A 17,682-nucleotide genomic window follows, 5' to 3' on the forward strand; every position below is an offset into this window, starting at 1 on the left:
AGCAACCCCATCTCTATAATTTTTTTTTTTTTTTTTTACCTGGGCCTGGTGGTTTGTGCCTGTAGTTCTAGCCACTCAGGAGACTGAGGTGGGAGGATCACTTGAGCCCAGGAATTTGAGGTTGTAGTGAGCAACCTCTGTATCAAACTCCGTATCTCACTGTATCAAAATAAATACATAAATAAAAATAAATAAATAAAAAGGTCACTGATCACAGATCATCATAATAGATATAATAATAAGGAAAAGTTTGAACTATTATGAGAATTACCAAAATGTGACACAGAGATATGAAGTAATCACACGCTGCTTGAAAAATGGTGCTAATAGACTTGCTCAACAGAGGTTTGCTGCAAACCTTCAATTTGTAAAAAAACACAATATCCACAAAGCACAGTAAAGCAAATTGTAATAAAACAACATATGCCTGTATTGAAATAAGAATCTGTCCACAATTCTGATAAGCTAAAACAACCATCAATTATGGAATTTCTGTTAACAATCTCTTGGGAAGGAAAAGTCAAGAAGGAAGTCAATGATTTTTAATGAATAATTAAAATGAAGTCAATGATTAATGAATAATCAAACAATAAATGTTTTCTAGCTAGTTGCCAAAGTAATTTCTTCTGAACACATAATAGTTGTTCAAAAAAGGCTGATAAACTAATTCATAGAAATGTTGACCCTTGTGTGTATACTTTATCAATGTAGCCATTATATGGCTTTCATAAGCTTGTATGGCTTACATTTATATGTAAAGCTTTACATTTATATGTATGTTTATATGAAAGTTTATTGATCAATAAAAAATGGCATGCACAGCAACCTGGGTGTAATCAGAGGCTATTGTTCTAAGTGAAGTAACTCAAGAATGGAAAACCAAACTTTGTATGTTCTTCCTCACATGTGGTAGCCAAGCTATGAGGATGCAATTGAATACATAAGCAAAAGCATAGAATGATAGGTTGGACTTTGGGGACTGGGAGAAAGGGTAGGGGGGTGTTGAGGGATAAAAGACTACACGTTAGGTACAGTGTACACTGCTCAGGTGATGGGTGCACCAGAATCTCAGAAATCACCACTAAAGAACTTATTCATGTAATGAAACACCACTTGTTCTGCAAAAACCTATTGAAATTAAAAAAAGTTAAAGTTAAAAAATGTGCATAAAAGAAGTGTCAAGGGAATCATATCCTATGGCAGCTCAGGATTAGCTGTGTATAAATGTTTTGGTTTGTTTTATAAAAAATTATTTACTTACTTGTATGAAACCTGGCTATGAGTATGGGTTAAAAGTTACTGAAAACATTGGTTAAAATGACCAGATATTTCCTTTCCTTTGTCACTGAAGCCAGTTAAAGTTTGGCAACATTGGAGACCCAGGATGAGTTCAGGGTGACATTTTGTTCTCCTTTAAATCACAATTTTTCCCTCTTTGCCTTTCCTGCCAAAAAGCCTGTAATTTTTGTACAATAAGTTTTATAATAGATATTTGTTTAAAAAGTAGGCTGAGCCAAGTAAAGAGTCATTATATACTTTTCTTCTTAAATGGAAAATATGCTTTCATATGATTTTGAAAAGACGCAAGAATAGCAATGTTTTAGGCATATCTGGTACTGGCTTTGTGTAGGAAATGATAATAGTCAATTATTACCATTTTTAATAAGAGCATTGCATTTTCCTTTCTGAAGTGCTCTAAAGTGACTAGTTTTGCATATAAAACTGTGAATATCTTGGGGACAGAGCTGCATCACATTTCTTTGTACTCTGTGTCTAGCACAATACCTGGTACACAGTAAAAAGACAAGAAATATTTGTTTTCCAAATAGTTTTTTTTTTACTACAAATATATTTTTTAAGAAGTGAGACATAGATTATTGGATTTTCATCATTTCCATCACTTTACACATTGTGTTAATGATCTATAGTTTTAATATAAAAACTTCAATGTCAGATAAATTTCCTTTCTATTTTAAAGTATAATCTATATCTCAGGCAAGTAAAAATTCTATTCTTCATGTAAAGTATTATTTTGGAAAACAAATTCTGAAGTAAAGTTTTTTTTTGCTTGAGAAATGAGTGTTACATTTTCACAATTTAGAATTTTAAACATAGCTTAGGGTGACCATTGTTTAAGGGGAAAATGATTAGACTTTGAGATTCTTAAGGTGAGGGCAGTGTATTGTTCTGGCTGCCTTTATATTTGGAATTCCTAGCATATAGTAGGAAATCAATAAATATTGAATTCAATCAGTAAAGAGTGAATGCTACATTTATTAAAATATGTTAAGATAATAAATGTGATTCTAATGTTTCTTAGCAAATCAACTGCCAGTCAGAAAAATTCATAGGTTAACAGCAATCCATTCAGTGTTTTCTACATTTCATTGGAATTTTCCAACGTGGCATTAACTTTCAGTGATCTACCGAAATACATTCACTTTTTTCCTACTTTCATGATGGTATTTTATTACATGTATATTTGCATGTTTAGATTTTCTGTTTTGTTTACTGATCCTGACAGCCGTTAAGCAGCTTGAGGAGCTGAACATTCTGTATTTATTCTGACTGATGATGATTCTGTTTGAAGGTCCGCTCATCATTGAATAGTCACTCAAGATTCATTTGAAAAAAAGACTCACCCAGTAGTCATTGTCTTCATTCACTTAATAGATGGAGGACTGTAATTTATGAAAAGGAAGATAACTTGTGTGGAGCATAGCATACTGTACAATTGCCTTTTATTCCAGACTTGACTTATTTTTTTGACCTTGCATTCCTCTGTTTATATTCAGGCAGCTTCCATAAAATAATTACAGTAAGACTAATCTATAATTGTAACAGGCAGTTGGTATTTTTCTGCATTCTTTCACATGTACAAATTACCCAGCTAAATTGAAAATAAAATAGGTGGATCTATTTCATACTAGTATTATCCAGTCGGGAGTCTCCATTTTGAGAAAAGGCACTACTCTGGATATATTGAGTAGAGAGGGATCTAACGTTGAGATCATTACAATAGGCTGATCGGGCTGGAGAGAGAAATGGGATCGTGAGTGTTACTCTCCCTCTGCTTGGGCTCAAAATCCCCTGCTCTCACAGCTAAGTTACTGGGAACTCCAAGGCTGTTTTGGAACCACTTCACTCTTTTTTTCTTTCTTTCTTTCTTTCTTTTTTTTTTTTTTGAGACAGGGTCTTGCTCTGTCACCCAGGCTGGAGTGCAATGGCACGATCTTAGCTCACTGCAACCTCCACCTCCCAGGTTCAAGCAATTCTTCTGCCTCAGACTCCCGTGTAGCTGGGACTACAGGTGAGTGCCACCATGCCCAGCTAATTTTTGTATTTTTAGTAGAGACGGGGTTTCACCATGTTGGCCTGGCTGGTCTTGAACTCCTGACCTCAAATGATCTGCCCTCCTTGACCTCCCAAAGTACTGATATTACAGGCATGAGCCACTGTGCCCAGCCCCACTTTACTCTTTATTTTGGATTTGGAGATAGATATTTGTTCATAGGACAATAACAATGAACTCTAATGAGTTATTGAGTATAAAATGTTGTTAATAAAAACACTTCCATGAGGGTCCATTGATATAATATTATGATGGCCCCACTAGATTCTGAATTCCTAAAAGGAAGGTACCTATATTTATTCAGTGTTCTTTATGGAACTGAATTATGGAATCGATAGTTTGTGACTTCAGAAAAGATTTCCAAGAGAGAAAAAAGCTAGGGAATAAAAAATGTAGCAGTCTTTTCACTCAATAATCTCGGAAAGCAGATTCATTTTTAGAGCTTTTATCTGCTTTTACAGACTTTAGGTACCATTTGTTGGGACTGGTGGGGTTGGGATGTGTCTGCTTATGCATACAGGAAAGGATAATGTTGTACTAGGCATAATATTCTAGGTTATGTGAAATTTATATTTGCTTTTTGTATTACATATTGGAACGTGGACGTATAATCATTGTCTAAGTTTCAGAGATTTCGTTGCCACTTGTTCAATGAAAATGTAAACAGTTGTGTCTACCACTCAATTTGCTTCAGAATTTGGAAAAGATGTTAAACATAAGAGTAAAGCAAAATAAGTGATTTTTATTTTAAATACAATCAGGACAAATTTGAGCTGATTCTTTAAATTAGCTCTATCTCCAGGAATTAAAAATCTTATTTCTAAACTGGATATTCTAAGAATGGTACACATCATTTTCACATGTACACTAAATATTATTAGTTCAGCGTCACTCTCAGTTTTATATTAAAAGTTGCTTGTCACCCTATTTTTAGAAAACTCTTTCCTTATATTCTTACAGTTTAGAGTAAATGGATGTGAAAAACTCCACAAAAATCACTAGACAGAAATCTAAACACGTGAGTACTTATGCACATAACATTTATACAGAAATATCAAGTATGTTTTTGAGCATGTGGTCTTAGTAAGCATGTTAATGTTTCACAGAAGAGTTTAGTGGGAATAAAATTATGAATCTATTATTTAAATGAGGTAAAGGATTATATGGTTCTTTATGCAGAAAATATATCTCGTTTCTCTTGCTTTATTATCTCATTTGGTTTTAGATGAAGGATGTCAGATTGTATAATGAGGAAACCAGTTCTCATTTTCACCAAGACTGCCCAAATTTAATACGTGTGCTTCAAGCTTCAGTATCCTTCTAAGTAATAGGCTGCTATGTGTCTTACTTTTTTGTTTGTCAAATGGGGGCAAGGGCATTGTGAAACTTATAATTTCGTTCTGCTCAACTGACTGTAATAATATTAATTGAAATGGCTACAATTTACTGTGATATTAAAAGTTGGAATTTTCTACTGTTTCTAATATGCTTTTAAAGATATTTTCAGAGTTATTGGAATTATTAGAGGTAGCAACCAAAGATACTTTCACAGACTACTTCTAACAAATTAGCAAATTCTATTCATAATCAAGACATAAATAGCATAATAAAATGTATAGCTAGGTCTAGGCCTATAAAGGGTTTTTTTTCCTCCAAAACATCAGTTCAAAATAAATCATTCAATACCTATACTCTAAATGTCTTTGTAGGTTATTCTGTATCTGCATGGAATGTACACCAGTAAAAAGGATAACTTAAGGATAATACAGAATTTATATTTTACTTATTTCCTTCTCAATTAGTATACATACACATATGCATACACACAGACCACTTGAGCTACCTTGATGGCTAGCCCACACTTTTACCTAAATGAGAAATAGAGTAAGTAGTGAAGTAAAGAGGAAAAAATACGAGGGCTAGATTTGTCCAACTTACACTTTCTAGCAATAAAAAAACAGCAGGAGAGCTTCAAATAGTTCTGAAGAGAAGTAGAATGGCAATTTCTTTATTTAACAACATGTTGACATAAAGATTTAAAAATGTATATTTATTAGAAAGAAGGGCAAAATTTGATTCTTCCTGTTTAATAAAATAAGGTCACCATTTATCTGGACATGCACACGGGAAACAAAATGGCTGCAGAAAAGAATGACTTTGAGATCAGACCCATCAAATAAGATTACTTAATTGTCTGCTGCCATACTAGACACTCAGAAAAGCAAAATAAGATAAATAATTTCATTGTGAGGGTAAGAAATTCTATTAAATTGTAAAATGTTGTGTACTTGGGTAGCGTGGGGTGGATATAATTAGGAATCATGTCTTTACTTGGCGGATCAGCCTATTAGGCTGGGTAGCAGGTAGGTAGCTTCAGAAAAGGCAAGCTAAAGAAAAGACTCAGAGGTAGAAATGAGTGTTAGGGCTGTCCTAGGAACTAGGAACAAGGGCCTAATGACACCCAAGACTTCTGCGTTTATTTTTACCTGATTTATCTGAAAGGTTCAGTCCCAGAGATAAAAAATTGAATGATGAGGCTGGGCTTGATTCACATACTGATAAAGGAGACAGACTGTCCTCTGGAAACTGATTGTGCAAAATTATCAGAACCTTGGCACTGATAAGGCAAGGGAAGAATGCTGAAACCAGCAAGATTGGTGACATTTATGAAGGCACATTTATGCAATGGGAAAACATTCATGTATTTATAAAGGTCCCTTGTTATTGACTAATCAATCTATATGCTGTAGTGAACTCTGAAGAAAAACATAAAAAGATAGTTTAATACTGACAAAGATAGATATTTCCTATTGTTTTTTTTACAACGAGGAAAATCCACAGATTTCCCCCCACCCCTCCACGCCTGCTAGAGGTTAGCAGACATGGGACCTGCTCCTTTTTTTCAGTGTTGCAATTTTCCCCAATATTTCCTCCTCCTGAGTCTTCTGCCTTGAGCCCAGGTTTCCTTAAATATAAAGCGGAAGTGCTTCTATATAACTGAACCCAGTTTTTTGATTTCCTGTGGTAAGTCTGTTTTAAAATGACTGTCATACAATGGATTTTGCTGTTTCTATGTCTTGTGTATTTGGTTGAAACCCTAACTAGTTCTTTTAATTTCTTCCTTTCAAACACGTCTGATGCAAATGAATAAAAGTTAAAACCCAGTGATCTCAAGATGGGAGTTGGGTGGGAGAGGGTAAATTATTTGAAATCAACAGGAAACCTCATTCTCGATGTCCTGAGGTTAATGTTCACATCTGTTAAGTAGCTGAATATGTCTTGAGCAAGTCACTTGGTCTCTGTAGGCATTGGTGTTTTCATCTGAGAAGGTGGGATGATTACAACTTTGAAAGTTGCTTTACATTTCAATGACTGCATCAGGACATAATATGTCCTATTTAAAGGCTATGGTAGCTTTTTACCAGTGTTTTCACATAAATGACTGACGCTTGGCATAGTGCTGTGTGAGTAGCAAGCATTCACTGTACAATGAACAAATGGGATGGATTTTTCTGACATTATTGATTCCAGTTGGAAAGTCATATGATATATATTGCCATCTTTAAAAATTAATAGCACCCCTGTCCATACCTAATACATTTTCATAATCTTCCCTATTTATTTTCTTCCTCAAACTTTCAATACTTTATTGTATTACTGATATCAGGAAATTTGAAAAAAAGTGGGAAAATAAAATAAAAATCTCATTTTCAGTCTGCTAATTTTATAGTAGATCTATTAAGTAAAACTAATCATAGCTAAAAGTATTTTCACCACAGTTCTCAAATTTCTCATTCAGCTATAACCAGAGAAGCTAAAGTGTAAAAATTAACAGAGATTGTTGAAAGGAGTCATATGCTAGTGAAAATAGGAAATTTTAATAGAAATTTTTTTACAAACTTTACTCCGGTGATTGTTATAATTGGAGATACTGAATTGAAAATGTGACCAAGATGTTCAATGACAGGCATTTGGACAGCTTCTGGAATAAAAATATCCAGGCACTTTGTAATTTTAGATTTTTTTGAAAGTTTAATCTCTTTTGTCATTTGCTCCCGATCACATTTATTTCTTTATACACATTTATTTCTATAAACTATGCATTTACATTTGTATGAGCAATGTGGCATTAAAATTATATTTGGAGTGATCAAAGAGTTTCAAATTTTCATGAATTAGTAAAATTAATAAAAAGTAGATTATTTTTAATTTTAATAAATTTCAACATCAATTTTTTTCATGAACCATGTTTTTGTTATTCTATCTAAAAAGTCATCACCAGTTAATTTTTTTAAGCATCACATTTATTAAAATATATTTTAGTTTTTGTTTTGTTTTGCATCTTGTTTTTTTATTATTATACTTTAAGTTCTAGGATACCTGTGCAGAACGTGCAAGTTTGTTATATAGGTATACATGTGCCATGGTGGTTTGCTGCACCCATCAACTTGTCATCTACATTAGGTATTTCTCCTAGTGCTATCCCTCCCCTTGCCCTCCACCCCCTGACAGGCCCTGGTGTGTGACGTTCCCCTCCCTGTGTCCATGTGTTATCATTGTTCAACTTCCACTTATGAATGAGAACATGTGGTTGTTTGGTTTACTGTTTCCTGTGTTAGTTTGCTGAGAATGATGGTTTCCAGCTTCATCTGTGTCCCTCCAAAAGACATGAATTCATTCTTTTTTATGGCTGCAGAGTATTCCATGGTGTATATGTGCCGCATTTTATTTAACCAGTCTAACATTGATGGTCATTTGGGTTGGTTCCAAGTCTTTGCTATTGTGAATAGTGTTGCAATAAACATACGTGTGCATGTGTCTTTATAATAGAATGATTTATAATCCTTTGGGTCTATACCCAGTAATGGGATTGCTGGGTCAAATGGTATTTCTAGTTGTAGATCCTGGAGGAATCCCCACACTGTCTTCCACAATGGTTGAACTAATTTACACTCCCATAAACAGTGTAAAGGCGTTCCTATTTCTTCACATCCGCTCCAGCATCTGTTATTTCCTGTCTTTTTAATGATCACCCTTGTAACTGGCGTGAGATGGCATCTCATTATGGTTTTGATTTGCATTTCTCTGATGGCCAGTGATGATGAGCATTTTTTCATGTGTTTGTTGGCCAGATAAATGTCTTCCTTTGGAAACTGTTTGTTCATATCCTTTGCCCACTTTTTGATGGGGTTGCTTTTTTCCTGTAAATTTAAGTTCCTTGTAGATTCTGGATATTAGTCCTTTGTCAGATGGATAGATTGCAAAAATTATCTCCCATTCTGTAGGGTGCCTATTCACTCTGATGATGGTTCCTTTTGCTGTGCAGAAGGTCTTTAGTTTAATTAAATCTTATTTGTCAATTTTGGATTTTGTTGCAATTACTTTTGGTGTTTTAGTTATGAAGTCTTTGCCCATGCCTATGTCCTGAATGGTATTGCCTAGGTTTTCTTCCAGGGTTTTTATGGTTTTAGGTCTTACATTTAAGTCTTTAATCCATCTTGACTTAATTTTTGTATAAGGTGTAAGGAAGGGGTCCAATTTCAGTTTTCTGCCTATGGCTAGCTGGTTTTCCCAACACCATTTATTAAATAGGGAATCCTTTCTCCATTGCTTGTGTTTGTCAAGTTTGTCAAAGAATAGATGGTTGTAGATGTGTGGTGTGATTTCTGAGGCCTCTGTGCTGTTCCATTGGTCTATATATCTGTTTTGGTACCAGTAGCATGCTGTTTTGGTTACTGTAGCCTTGTAGCATAGTTTGAAGTCAGGCAGCATGATGCCTCCAGCTTTGTTCTTTTTGCTTAGGATTGTCTTGTCTATACAAGCTCTTTTTTGGTTTCATATGAAATTTAAAAGAAAGTCAATGGTAGCTTGATGGGAATAGCATTGAACCTATAAATTACTTTGGGCAGTATGGCCATTTTCACGATACTGATTCTTCCTGTCCATGAGCATGGAATGTTTTCCCATCTGTTTGTGTCCTCTCTTGTTTCCTTGAGGAGTGGTTTGTAGTTCTCCTTGAAGAGGTCCTTCATATCCCTTGTAAGTTGGATTCCTAAGTATTTTATTCTCTTTGTAGCAATTGTGAATGGGAGTTTGCTCATGATTTGGCTCTCTGTTTGTCTATTACTGGTGTATAGGAATGCTTGTGATTTTTGCACATTGATTTTGTATCCTGAGACTTTGTTGAAGTTGCTTATCAGATTAAGGAATTTTTGGCTGAAATGATGGGGTTTTCTAGATACACAATCTTGTCATCTGCAAATAGAGATAATTTGACTTTCTCTCTTTCTATTTGAATACGCTTTATTTCTTTCTCTTGCATGATTGCCCTGGCCACAACTTCCAATACTATGTTGAATAGGAGTGGTGAGAGAGGGCATCCTTGTCTTTTGCCAGTTTTCAAAGGGAATGCTTCCAGCTTTTGCCCATTCAGTATGATATTGGCCATGGGTTTGTCATAAATAGCTCTTATTATTTTGAGATATGTTGCATCCATACCTACCTTATTGAGTGTTTTTTAGCATGAAGGGGTGTTGAATTTTATTGAAGCCCTTTTCTGCATCTATTGAGATAATCATGTGGTTTTTGTCATTGGTTCTGTTTATGTGATGGATTATGTTTATTGATTTGCATATGATGAGCCAGCCTTGCATCCCAGGGATGAAGCCGACTTGGTCGTGGTGGACAAGCGTTTTGATTAAGTGCTGGATTTGGTTTAGCAGTATTTTATTGAGGATTTTCGCATCAATATTCTTCAGAGATATTGGCCTGAAATTTTCTTTTTTTGTTGTTGTGTCTCTGCTAGGTTTTGGTATCAGAATGATGCTGGCCTCATAAAATGAATTATGGAGGATTCCCTCTCTTTCTATTGTTTGGAATAGTTTCAGAAGGAATGGTACCAGCTCCTGTTTATATCTCTGGTAGAATTCGGCTGTGAATCCATCTGGTCCTGGGCTTTTTTGGTTGGTAGGCTATTAATTACTGCCTCAATTTCAGAACTTATTATTGGTCTATTCAGGGATTTGACTTCTTCCTGGTTTAGTCTTGGGAGGGTGTATGTGTCCATGAATTTATAAATTTCTTCTAGATTTTCTAGTTTAATTGTGTAGGGGTGTTTATAGTATTCTCTGATGGTCATTTGTATTTTTGTGGGATCAGTGGTAATACCCCTTTATCATTTTTTATTGTATCTATTTGATTCTTCTATCTTTTCTTCTTTATAGTCTGGCTAGCGGTCTATCTATTTTGTTAACCTTTTAAAAAAAACTAGCTCCTGGATTTACTGATTTTTCGAAGTGTTTTTCGTGTCCCTGTCTCCTTCAGTTCTGCTCTGATCTTAGTTATTTCTTATCTTCTGCTAGGTTTTGAATTTGTTTGCTCTTGTTTCTCTAGTGCTTTTAATAGTAATGTTAGGGCGTCGATTTTAGATCTTTCCCTGGGCATTTAGTGCTATAAATTTCCCTCTAAACACTGCTTTAGCTGTGTCCCAGAGATTCTGGTACGTTGTGTCTTTGTTCTCATTGGTTTTAAAGAACTTATTCATTTCTGCCTTCATTTTGTTATTTACCCAGTAGTCATTCAGGAGCAGGTTGTTCAGTTTCCATGTAGTTGTGCGGTTTTGAGTGAGTTTGTTAATCCTGAAGTCTAATTTGATTGCACTGTGGTCTGAGAAACTGTTTGTTATGATTTCTTTTCTTTTGCTTGTGCTGAGGAGTGTTTTACTTGCAATTATGTGGTCGATTTTAGAATAAGTGCTATGTGGTACTGAGAAGAATGTATATTCCGTTGATTTGGGATGGAGTGTTCTATAGATGTCTATTAGGTCTGCTTGGTGCAGAGCTGAGTTCAAGTCCTGAATATTCTTGTTAATTTTCTGTCTTATTGCTTTATCTAATATTGACAGTGGGGTGTTAAAGTCTCCCACTATTATTGTGTGGGAGTCTAAATCTCTTTGTATGTCTCTCAAAACTTGCTTTATGAATCTGGGTGCTCCTGTATTTGGTGCATATATATTTAGGATAGTTAGCTCTTCTTGTTGCATTGATCCCTTTACCATTATGTGATGACCTTCTTTGTCTTTTTTGATCTTTGTGGGTTTAAAGTTTAAAGTCTGTTTTATCAGAGAGTAGGATTGCAACCCCTGCTTTTTTTTTTTTTTTTTTTTGCTTTCCATTTGCTTAGTAAATCTTTCTTTATCCCTTTATTTTTAGCCTGTGTCTTTGCATGTGAAACAAGTCTCCTGAATACAGCACATCGATGGGTCTTTACTCTTTATCCAATTGGCCAGTCTGTGCCTTTTACATTTAAGGTTAATATTGTTATGTGTGAATTTGATCCTGTCATCATGATGCTAGCTGGTTATTTTGCCCATTAGTTGATGCAGTTTCTTCATAATGTCGATGGTCTTTACATTTTGGTTTGTTTTTGCAGTGGCTGGTACCAGTTTTTCTTATCCATATTTAGTGCTTCCTTTAGGAGCTCTTGTAAGGGAGGGCTGGTGGTGATGAAATCCCTCAACATTTGCTTTTCTGTAAAGGATTTTATTTCTCCTTCACTTGTGAAGCTTAGTTTGGCTGTATATGAAATTCTGGGTTGAAAATTCTTTTCTTTAAGAATGTTGAATGTTGGCCCCCACTCCCTTCTGGCTTGTAGGGTTTCTGCAGAGAGATCCGCTGTTAGTCTGATGGGCTTCCCTTTGAGGGTAACCTGACATTTCTCTCTGACTGCCCTTAACATTTTTTCCTTTATTTCAACCTTGGTGAATCTGACGATTATGTGTCTTGGGGTTGCTCTTCTCGAGGAGTATTTTTGTCGTATTCTCTGTATTTCCTCAATTTGGATGTTAGCCTGTCTTGCTAGGTAGGGGAAGTTCTCTTGGATAATATCCTGGAGTGTGTTTTCCAACTTGGTTCCATTCTTCCCGTCACATTCAGGTACACCAATCAAACGTAGGTTTGGTCTTTTCCCATAGTCCCATATTTCTTAGAGGCTTTGTTCATTCCTTTTCTTTCTTTTTTCTCTAATCTTGTCTTCACACTTTATTTCATTAAATTGATCTGAGGTCAATAGGCTTTTAGCCTAAGCTTTTATATTTATCTAGCTAGAAGTTGAGCTGTGTCTACTGTTTGCTGTAGTTGTAGGTCGGAGAAAGTAAAATTTCCTCTGTTGTCTTTATTATTGTGTCCTTTTTTGTCTTTGGGTTTCCCTAGAAACTGCTTCTTAAATAGGATTTGAGGTTTCCAGTTCTTTTAGCTATAATCTCAGTTATCATACAGGAACCTGATTGATGTGTTGGCAAGGTGTGGGGGCAGAAAGAACATTCTATAATTCTACGATTAGGTCTCAGTCTTTTGGTAAGCCTGTTTCTCTATGCTGTGACCTTCACAAGTGCTTCTCAGCCTTCTACACGTCTTCCCCTTTTAGGAGAGTTAGGAAGAGTAGAAGGGGCTGGGGTTGGGAGTTTTCCATTGCTGACCTTGACAGATAGAGGGGGCTGGAGTTGGGAATTTCTGGTGAAAGCCATATTGATTAGAGTCTAATCAATGTGGGGGAGAAGGTAGAACCAGAAAAGAGAAAAGGTCCCATTTATTATCCTGTTCCATAATCATACACCAACACTGACTAAGACCTGGTAATTTCTCCTGCTAAATATTTTTAAATATTTTACACCAGTACATACTATTTCTTCCATTCTAGTTGGAATCAGCAAGATCTCTACCTGTTTCTTGTAATAATCTCTTTTTGAAAAATTAATTATTTTCATTTATTTTCAGAATTAAAGAGTTTTAAGGAGCTGTCAACTTCTTCACCTGAACTCTTAAAATTAATCTTTGTTTTCTGGAAGTTTACTTTGGGTAGGGAAATTCTGACATGGAATATGATCAAGATTAAGCCACCATGAAAGTACAGAAGAACTGAAAGCATTGCATTTTAATTCAATGTATACAGAAGCTTAATTTAGTTGATGCTACAATTTGCAGGTCATATTATATAACAGCCTTTTGGGCCATGAAAGATCCTTTTGGACAATAGAAATGAAGTATTTGGTCCTTTATTGCCAATGGAGGTATATATCATTCATTTGGTTATGAACATTTTACCTTCCCGTAACTTCTTTGCAATAGTTTCCTCATGTGTCTTTTCACATCATCTCTTGTTCTTCCCCAGTCCAGAACACACAGTCACAGAGATCATTTAAAAAGCAGCCTGTATCCTGGAGTGTCTTCCTGTTGATGTTAGTATATAGACAGAAATCATTAAAGCATCACACACGTGCTGCATGAACTGGCTCCTGTCTCTTCTCCAGCCTGGTGTTGAGAGGTCCATGTTCTCCTTGGCAAACTACGGGCCCACTTGCATCTGTTTTGCTGCACACCTTTCCATAGGCTGCTCCTAGCCCATTGGTCTGGTGAGCTCTTACAAATCCTTTAGTGTATTTGGGAAACGTTACCCTAACTTTACCTACACCTCAATGGTCTTCTTCCCACATGAGAATAAGTCTGTGTTATCAATTTTTTATATGTTCCTCTATCCATAGAATATATAATATACTTTATAGAACTCTACTTACTTATATGATGTCTATTACCTCTAGTTTGTCACTTTCATGAGGGCAAAGGTACTGTCTGTTACCACTGTGTCTCCAGTGCCAAGTCTGTGAGAGAACACAGTATACATTTATTTAAAGAATGACACTATAAATAAATTATAAGAGCAATGCTACAAGGAATATTTGCATTGCATAGGCTCGAAGTTTTTAAGCTAAAAGGCAGACTTAGGCAACAGACATTTTAAAAATAATTGAGGTGAAATTCACATAACATACAATTAGCCATTTAAATTGTACAATTCTAGGGCAATTGTATACTTTAAATTCCAATTGTACACTTCAAATTCCATTTAAAGTGTACAATTTCAGGGACTGCACTCACAATGTTGTGCAACCACCATCACTGTCTAGTTCCAAAATTATTTCATCACCTCCCAAGAACACCTCATACCCATTATGTTATTCTTTTTTTTTTCCATTATGTTATTCTTACCCATTATCCCCTTTGACCCATAATATGACAACCACTGATCTGCTTTCTTTTTCTATAGATGTGCCTGTTTTGGATATTTCATATAATAAGATTCATGCAATATATGTCTTTTGCATCTGGCTTCATTTACTTAGTATAATGTTTTTGAGGATCAGACAACTTGTAATATGTTTCAATGCTTCATTTCTTTTTATTGCCAAATAGTATTCCATTGTGTGTGTGTTCTGTATACATATATGTAATAATCAAGGACCTGGGAACTCCAACAAGGGAGCAAATTAGAGAAGTGAACCCAAACTACACAGAATTTAAATTCCCTCAAATTAAGACACATCCTTGGACTATAGTCTTCTGACCCTGAACTCCACTGGAAGCAATTGCACTGTGTAGCCGTCTGCTGGAGTATACATCAACTCTCGACTGGCACCACTGGAAGTTTGTGCACATTCGTTTTTTCATGAATTACAGGATCCAAATGTCAAACTACCAAATGGGTGAGACACACCTCCACTGTTCAACTTCACCACTCAAGAACTGCCAACTAATCTACCTCTGGCTACCATCCTTATGCCTCCTCATGCTTGGATTCAAGCAGCTGTTTCAATCCCCACAAATGCCACAGCAGCCACCGATGCTAGTGCTGGAGACCGTGAACAGACCAATAATGCTGTTTCTGCATCATCTTCCAACTTTACCTGAACAGTCCCCAGAAGCCAGCTGCACAGGAAAAGCCACCAGTTACTTGAGTCACTCAGCAACACTGGTCACTTTTGGAAAGAATATTAAAAAGAGAAAAAAAATCTGTTAAAAATATATGTGTGTATGTATATATATATATATATATATATATATATATACATATACATACACACAATGGAATATTATACATATATTTATATATTGTGATTTATAAAAATTTCTTTTATTTTCTCTTATTAAAAAGAGAAAAATCTGTTAAAAATATATATGTGTATATATATGTATATATATGTATATATATACACATACACACAATGGAATATTATACATATATTTATATATTGTGATATATAAAAATTTATCCATCAGACTATATATATATGCAATGGAATATTATATATTATATATATTTACATTTAGTGTATATATAATATATAATACTTTATCCATCAGACTTAATTTTAAGGGCAGAAATCTTGCCTTAGTCCACCTGAAAGAAATAATATATCCTAACAAAGATAACTTGGAACTAGCCCGCCTAAAAAGTAAGAGTTTACCCCTTTATTGAAATAATATAGGTGACCTCCTTATCAGAAAAAAACAGGTGAAATTATTGACTCTTAAATTCTATTGGTTCTTCTTGTGGAAATATTCTGCTCAACTTATTTAAACGGCAAATATCCAGTTCAACGTGGTTTGATGGATGTTGTAACACCATAATACTCTAGGACAGGGATTGACACGCTGTGCCTTGGGAGTCAAATCCATGGCTGCTTTCATATGAAAACAGCAGAATTGTGTAGCTATGACTGAGACTGGGTGGCTCACGATGTCTGAAATACTTCCTCTCTAACCATGTACAGTAAGAGCTTGGTGATCTCTGCTCTAGAATAATGAAATCAGTGAGGAATTTCTTTTCTGCAGGATTGCATTGATTTGGATATCTTCAAAGGAAATGTTCAACTTAATCGAACTTGGAAGCTTTTCCCCACCAAACTCTAGAATATAAGAATAAATGTAGTTTTCTCTGTTGGTTGGGAGTTTCTTGTTAATAAAAAGAAAGGACCTTAGAATTTCAATCTGGAGGGAACATCTAAGACACTGTAAGATAACATTATACCTTTTGGGATGTGTTGAAAGGCAGAAATCAGAAGAATGTGAGTTTTGCTAGAATAATTTCTCAACTGAAATATTAAAAAAATCTGTGCCATAGATATCTACATAAGGTTCAGAATTATGATTTTCAATTTAGGAGAAAAAAACTAGATGCTTCTGTGAATAAAAATATTTCACAGTTTGGTTATGCATCAATGTCTTTGAATGACTATTGGCTTTTCTATCTTACTTCCTTCTCCTGACCATTTTTGAGGGAAAGGTTCTGAAATAAAAGGCCTATTTGTTTCCATTTTTGTTCAATTACTTTTCAACACATTGTCTAAATGTCATCCATGTAGATGTAGGGAGTAAATAGTCCTCATCTGTTCTTCTGCTTGGGTAGAAGTGCCCTCTCATTACCTTTTCAAGATTATGTTGTCTCTTAAGAAAATATGTTTCAATTGCAGAAAGCAGCTGATATAATATTTTTGAAGAAATTTTCTTTAAGACTATAAGATTGAGATAGGATGACAATTGAACTTCTGTTCTAACTGAATTGGGTCTGCAAAACAATAAAAATAGTTTTCAGAATCTTTAACTTTACAAAGCCAGACTCATAAAACCAACAAGAGGAATCGTGACATTTCTGTCATGCCATACTAAGGACTTAATCTTCAACCAGGACTAAACATTTGGTTGTATTGTTTGTTCAGAGACTTCCGTATGAGTAGGAGACAATGCCATATGGTCATCACAGCTATGTGGCCATAGCAACTACATGATTATTTGAATAATTCCCTTTTCCGTTTAATTTTTCTTCCTCTACAACTGAGTGCCATTTTACAGGCAACTCTCAATTTGCAGCAGATGGTTGTACAGTTTGTGAATTTTTCATGCTTCTTCCATTTTGTCGTTCCTTCCTTGCATGTCCCTTGCTCCCTTTAGTAAAAGTCGATCATCAAAAATCAGGAAAATCAAATCACATTAATTGCTATCTTAAAAAAAAAAACTCTTGCAAGAAAAACAGAATATTGACCTCGATTACTGTGACCACTGTGACTGTCTATGCTACTGCAAATGTAAAGGTTATCAATAATTGACTGTAAGTTTCCTATACGTACCTAAGGAGCAAATGTATTATGACAAAGATGAATTTGGCATATGTATATTTCTGTTTTTCCTTACAATGAATTCAAAATCACATTGCTACTTTTATGAAGTTTACAGACAGTCTGACAAATTTTAGACTTGAAAAGTAAAATGATATTGACATTAGATTTTTGAAACTGAATCTCTTTTAACATCCTTTAGGTGTGTTGGAGTTTAGAAATGATTGAGCTGTAATACTTTTCCAGAGTATTGCTCCTACAGTCAATTTCGAGTTCCTTAAGCCCTATTGATTTCATGTGGCTGCCTGGTCATCCTCATCCTGCAGTCTATGACTTGAGTCGCTTCTTTCTCACTATCTAGGACTTTGTTCTTCCTTTATAAGCT

The 17,682-nt window shown here is 35.1% G+C and overlaps 1 long non-coding RNA gene across 1 annotated transcript; it reads left to right on the forward strand.

Annotated features, from left to right (window-relative positions):
* Positions 1-3,272: 3,272 nt before the first annotated feature.
* On the forward strand, positions 3,273-4,836 carry LOC107984180 (uncharacterized). Its single transcript, XR_001747279.2, has 3 exons — positions 3,273-3,310; positions 4,313-4,370; positions 4,578-4,836. It is a non-coding gene; the product is annotated as an uncharacterized LOC107984180 (long non-coding RNA).
* Positions 4,837-17,682: the final 12,846 nt, after the last annotated feature.

The sequence above is a fragment of the Homo sapiens genome, chromosome 10, assembly GCF_000001405.40.
Source record: "Homo sapiens chromosome 10, GRCh38.p14 Primary Assembly".
Classification (NCBI taxonomy): Eukaryota; Metazoa; Chordata; class Mammalia; order Primates; family Hominidae; genus Homo; species Homo sapiens.